This window comes from Homo sapiens, chromosome 3 (genome assembly GCF_000001405.40).
Source record: "Homo sapiens chromosome 3, GRCh38.p14 Primary Assembly".
NCBI classification, from domain to species: domain Eukaryota; kingdom Metazoa; phylum Chordata; class Mammalia; order Primates; family Hominidae; genus Homo; species Homo sapiens.
Window position 1 is genome coordinate 141611034 of NC_000003.12, and position 6000 is coordinate 141617033.

The following is a 6000-nucleotide window of genomic DNA, read 5'->3' on the forward strand; positions in this document are numbered from 1 at the left end:
AACTTACTCCAGCAAGGGGCACTGTGCTTATAGTACTTTACAGCTTATGTAGATTGCTTTTAGAAGCAAGTTAATGAAGTCCCAATTGAGGTGGCTTAAACAATAAAACTATTTACTCTTGCAAATTAAGTAGTTAACTTCTACAGTTGGTTAATTCAGCAGCTCAGCACTGTCATCAAGGAACACCTGCCACTCAGCCAACCTCAACAAGGTGATTTCTCTCCTCCTCAAGCTTGTTCCCCCATGGTCACAGATGAGCTGCAATAATTCAGAGCCCCACATTTTTATATGATAGCATCCAGAGGCAGAAAAGGCTGTTTTCTCCGTACTAGGAGAAAGGAACCTTCTCTAGAGTTACCCCCAGCTTTCCCTGAAACACATGGCTACCCAGTGGTAGAGCAGAATCAGGGTCTGTTACAAAGAAGTGGATAGGGCGGGGATGGGTCTTGGGCCAGCAAGGAACAGTGTTTGCCACAGTGAACACTCATTGATCCTCAAATCAGCCCAACTTGGTTTTATCCTCATTTTACAGCTAGAGAAACGGAGGCTTAGGGAAGCTAAGTGCCTTGCCCAAGGTCACACAGCTGACAAGTCACACTGCTGACTAGGGCTCTGAATCCTGGCCCTACCACTTTAAATGTTCTTTGAAAAATATGTGAATTAATAATTATATTTTTTATTCATGTACAATAAAAATCAATTTGACAAGTATAAATATTTATATGTTCTTCCTAGATAGATGCCTCAATTAGAAAGGTTATTAGAAGCATCCTAATCCTGTCTTTTCTGTATTAATGTAATTGGTTCTCTTCCAACAGTAGTAATCCAGTTTCCTTGGAGCCCTGGGAAGTTTCCATATGAGATCCCAGACATTCTTTCTTAAATAGTACCTCTCCACTCATACCCATACACACCATACCACTTCCCAGCTTTATTTTTCTCTATTAAAAAATATCAACCTCTACCATACTAAATATCTTATTAATTTTATTTACCCTATACCAGAGTGTAAGTTCCATGATGGCAAGGGTTTTCTTGGTCTGTTTTGTTTACTACTTTATCTTTAAGTTCTACACTAGGGTCTAAGATTGAATAGGTGGTCAGTAAGTACTCATTGAATTAATGAAACAACATTTGGCATGAGAGATTATCCAGGGAAAATTCTAAATACTTAATGGATTATATATTTGTCACCCTTTAAATTTTTGTATTTCTTAAATTTTGAAAAATGACTTTTTTTCTTCTCTAGGGAAAATCCAATTGTTGGGAAAGCATCTTAGAGTTTAACAGATTGGTTCAGAAGAACTGGAAAATATTATTTTTCTTGGAGCTTTTCAATTCATCATGTATTTTGTTCATGGTATTTAAGAATGAGCATCCGCTTCAATGTCATCTGCCTCCACATTGTATTTAATATTTAATAATTGAAATTAATTGTTTGGGAATCCTGGTATTGATGTATTACTAGAGAATTTAAAGCCCAAGATTCCCTTCATACCTGTGTGACCAAATCCATGTTTCTGCAACTTCTTTTTAATCGAAAGAATCTTCCTAGAAAAGCTTTGTAACAAAGGGAGAACTCCTCCGTAGCAAGAAACCATCTCTTCTTGTAACACTCTGTTCTGTGGACTTGTTTTCACTACCATCAGTGCCTGCTCTATACTGCCAACATTGTGTTTTACTAGAAAATTCCAATTCATGACAGTTCAGAGCTTTTCATTTAGTTCATGTAGACCCTCCCACTTTAAAAAAGAAAAAAAATAAGAAGTGTTTTTCCTTTGGTCCATCAGTCATTACAGGTTCCATTCAAGACAGTGATAGAAACTTTAGAAAACTGCCAGAGCATACTTGAAAGTTGGTAGATCCTTTTGCCTAAAGATGTAAACAAAACTCAAGACAGAAGGAATCAGGGAATATGTGCTATTGTGTGCATCTTGTTTACATTTGGGATCAGTGATGGCAAAAGAAGTAATGAGACCACTGAAATTGTTTTCATTGTTTTAAATACCAGGTACTCATTTTCTTGATTTGAAAGTTTAACATGACTTCTAAGGACATCTCTTCAAAAAGAAAGTAAACAGGGAATGAAGGTGGTGGGAAAATCACTTCACTTCACCCACTATTTCATGTTGTAATAAGGGCCACCATAAGGATGCCCTCCTCATAGTGTTCGGTTCTGATCTTCCTCGAGAACAGTCACTTGGCGCACTTTAATAATCTGGACTGCTCCAGATTTGACTTTAGATACTCCATGGTATCTAGTCTTTATGATCAGTTGAATGATCAGTGTTTAAGTCTAAAAATAATGCTTTCCTGAAAATGTTTATATTTCATTGCTGTTTCCTTATTGCCTGCTAGCCAAATGGAATTTGGGCAAGCAACTCTTTGAAGACTTTTTTACCCTAGAAATTTACTTTTGTCCTAAAAACCCTAACTGTAAATAAGCAGTCGAAGCAAGTTGCCACCTTGAAGTTGAGGGATACACTTTGCTTCATCAGTATTAAAAACCATGGTACTCTTATTTTGTCTTTTTTAATTCAAAACATTTTCTAAATGTGGTACTTTGAACCTTGGAGTATTTACATGTTTCTGTTCAAAACTGTGACTTATTAATGTAAGTCTGCTAGTAGTACTTTTTTTGTCTGAGCATAAGCTATATTTCAAGATATACTTTGCCAATTTTGTTATTGGTGGGTAATCATTTTTAAATTATATTGTTATTAGGTAATTATTTTTAAAGACTACTGGCATACAATCAAAGTTGTTCCATAAAAGAATATAACTGAGCAATGTATTTCTCTAAATGACTTGTAAAAATCAATGAATTATGTTTAAGTCTGCATTATGGTAGGTTATTACTCCCAGCTCATTTTAAAGACAAGTTTGAAAGAGTCCTTTAAATTTTATAAGCTTGTAGATTCCATAAACTACACTGATTTATACATTTGAAAGAATTTAGCCATTTAATAAATTTCTTATTCTCAAATTGCATTTAGATTAAAATTCCTTTTAAGAGTGTCTGAAATGTCTGCCTGCGAAGAACATGTAAACATTGCCAGATACCAGTCATTATTCTTTAGTGGCTTTTTAGTCCTCTGCTTTTTTTTTTAAGGCAAAAGAAATATGCATCTAGCATTTCTAATACCAAATCCCCAATTGTGATTGTTTTAAAGATCATGGTATGATCACAGGGACCAAGGCTGTGTGCATATATAACTCTGGATTTGAAAGGAGGAGAGTTCAGCCATCTAGTTCTTTTCTTCACATGACACTTTTAAACAGCCAGTTTGACTGGAATTAACCAACTTGGCACAGCCTAAAAAAGGAGTAATGTGAAATTAAATTATTTTTCTTTGAAAGTCTTTTGAAATAAGAGACCATGTAAGTAGGACCCTAAGACAACCAAGGAATTTGCTTCCAGGGCCCTCATTCCTCTGCTGTTACTTACAAATGTTTTAATTTTTACTACCTGATATTCTTTCTCTACCTTTTCCACATTTGAAAATATACAAGGCAGCTCACTTCATCCTAAAAACCTAAAAACTCCAGGAAGGAAAGAAAAGGATGATATGGGGAAATTTGCCATAAATGCCGGTTCTGGTTCTTAGTTTAGCCATTTCCATCAGTTGAAATTGTGGTGTGATCTGTTGCTTGTTTCGTTGTTGTTTTGTTTTTGTGTAGCTTTGTTTTTTAATATTCATTTAATAAGATGATGGGCAATAGCAAACATTTTTACTCCCAGGAATATAATTTATCAAATTGAACTATTTTATTTGCCAAAGAAACTTGTTTTTAATATCACGGGTAATGGGTAAGTGTGAAAACTAGGCTTTTTTTTATGAAACAAAAAAAGGTGACGAATAATATGGCTTTTGTTTCTGTTTCTGAAGCCTGATTTCATTTATGCCAGGTTTTGAAAAACAGATCTTTTTCTTAAGTGAAAGCACCTTTAATTTGCTCTAACGGTACATCCTGTAAAGACAGAATTCTGCATAGCCTTTTAGGTGTTTTTACAGTATGTGAAAAATACAAGACTCATTCTAGAGTTAAATTACCAATCTTGGTTGATATTATCTGCTTCCATTTTTATTAATTTGGAAATTAATATGTTGCTAGTAAATATTGGTTTTTACAGTACCCAGTTTGAAAATGTAAGTTATCAAAACTTAATGTAGTGAATTTGTGTAACCATGTTGTATTGTTGAGAATGTATTTTTATTTAAATTTTATTTTCTTATCAAGAGTATTATAAAAATTAACTTTTGTAACTGTCGCTTGGAAATAACTCAAATAAATTACAAGAAGCCTGTCTGTTCTTTGTGAGACTGTATTTTCTTACTGATTTAGTAATTTCTTCTTAAAATTATTATACCTTTCCTATTAGTAAGGGAACTGTGGAAGTGAGAAGTCTCCAGTAAGAATGATGCAATCTGAAAAGTGTTCAGTTTTCTTGCACTTAACTAGGCTGATTTTTGATGGGTGTGTTCTTTTTTTTTTTTTTTTTTTTTTTTTTTTTTTTTTTTTTTTTTTGAGACGAAGTCTTGCTCTCCCCAGGCTGGAGTGCAGTGGCACAATCTCGGCTCACTGCAACCTCTGCTTCCTGGGTTCAAGCGATTCTCCTGCCTTAGCCTCCCGAATAGCTGGAACTTCAGGTGCGCACCACCACGCCCAGCTAGTTTTTGTATTTTTAGCAGAGATGGGGTTTCACCGTATTGGCCAGGATGGTCTCTATCTCTTGACCTTGTGATCTGCCCACTTCGGCCTCCCAAAGTGCTGGGATTACAGGCGTGAGCCACTGCGCCCAGCCTCTAATGGGCTGTGTTCTTACATGTTCATTCATTCAACAGACTTGTTTTGAGGACCCATGGTGTTCAAAACACCTTGCAGGCTCCTGTCATTCCCTAGAGCCATGTACAACTGTCATGGAGGAATATAATTCACTTGTGTCTAGATAAAGTTTAAAGCTGAGTTTTCCAGACTATGTTTGACTTTTTAAAGAAGAGTAGAAAGAAGAATTCTTTCAGAGCCTATGGTTACTCAGGCCCTGCACTGACCCGTGCAGATTAACCTACCCCATAGCTTGACCTTCAGTGCATCATCCTTCAGGATGTTAGAATTTGCCTGTGTTCTGCCATTTTGGTGAGATGCCTGGAGAATATAAAGTGACAGCACCAGAGACCAGGTTAGTGGGTATAACTTGTGCCCTCAACAAGAGAAGCCAGGATCCTCCCTGATTCGTGCCTGAACCCTTTTATAATAGCATCCCTGAAAAACCCTTCTATAAAACAAAGTCCCTGGGCTCCGGAGGAATTAAAGGTTAACAAAGTGCAAAGGATAGGGTTCTGAATCTCTATATTTATTGAAACATTAGAATTCCTGTCATACTAGCCCATGTATAGAATAGAACTTGTGAAAAGCATCAGATTTAGGGTTCTAGTCTACGATAGAAGTAAACTAGGCATTTAAGGGAGAGGGGACCATACTCCTATTTCAAATTGTATGATTCCAAAATGAGAGACACCTAGGGCCAGAGTCCCTTTATTACACAAGAATAAGAAACAAGACATACTTTGCCACTCCTGGTATATGTTTTTCTACTCCAGTGGCAAGTACTGAACTCCTCTGGAAACGTTTCAGAGAATAACCTGTCGTGGGTGCTGACCATATTTAAAGATCTTTGGTCTTAATTCTTCATACATACCTTCACCTGAGGTTTGCTCTTTTGTGGCCAAGAAGTTCATTCTTTGGCTTACCATTTTGCCATTTGACTTCACAGTTTGGGGACACCATTTGCCATCATATTTTGAGCTTATGCCTATTTTTTATATTGACAGCAGAGGTGTGACTTGTTTAATTAAAGTACTATTAAGATTTCATCGCTTTTCTGCCTTGTATTTCAAACCTTTTTGTTTTGTACTATTAGGCAAAGGCTTTGTGCTTTTTATTGATCTGCTTTTTGAGATGGAGTTCAGTCTTAGATACATAAATTTTACTCATCAA

General features: G+C 36.0%; 1 protein-coding gene across 5 annotated transcripts in view; it reads left to right on the top strand.

The window, feature by feature from the left end:
• RASA2 (RAS p21 protein activator 2) overlaps positions 1–4311 on the top strand; it is a 128318-nt gene extending 124007 nt beyond the window's left edge. For all 5 annotated transcript variants that reach the window (NM_001303245.3, NM_001303246.3, NM_006506.5 and 2 more), the window contains one exon: positions 1250–4311. In NM_001303245.3, coding sequence (NP_001290174.1) covers positions 1250–1280 — 31 coding nt within the window. In that variant the 3' untranslated portion in view covers positions 1281–4311. The remainder of the gene's footprint in view (positions 1–1249) is intronic.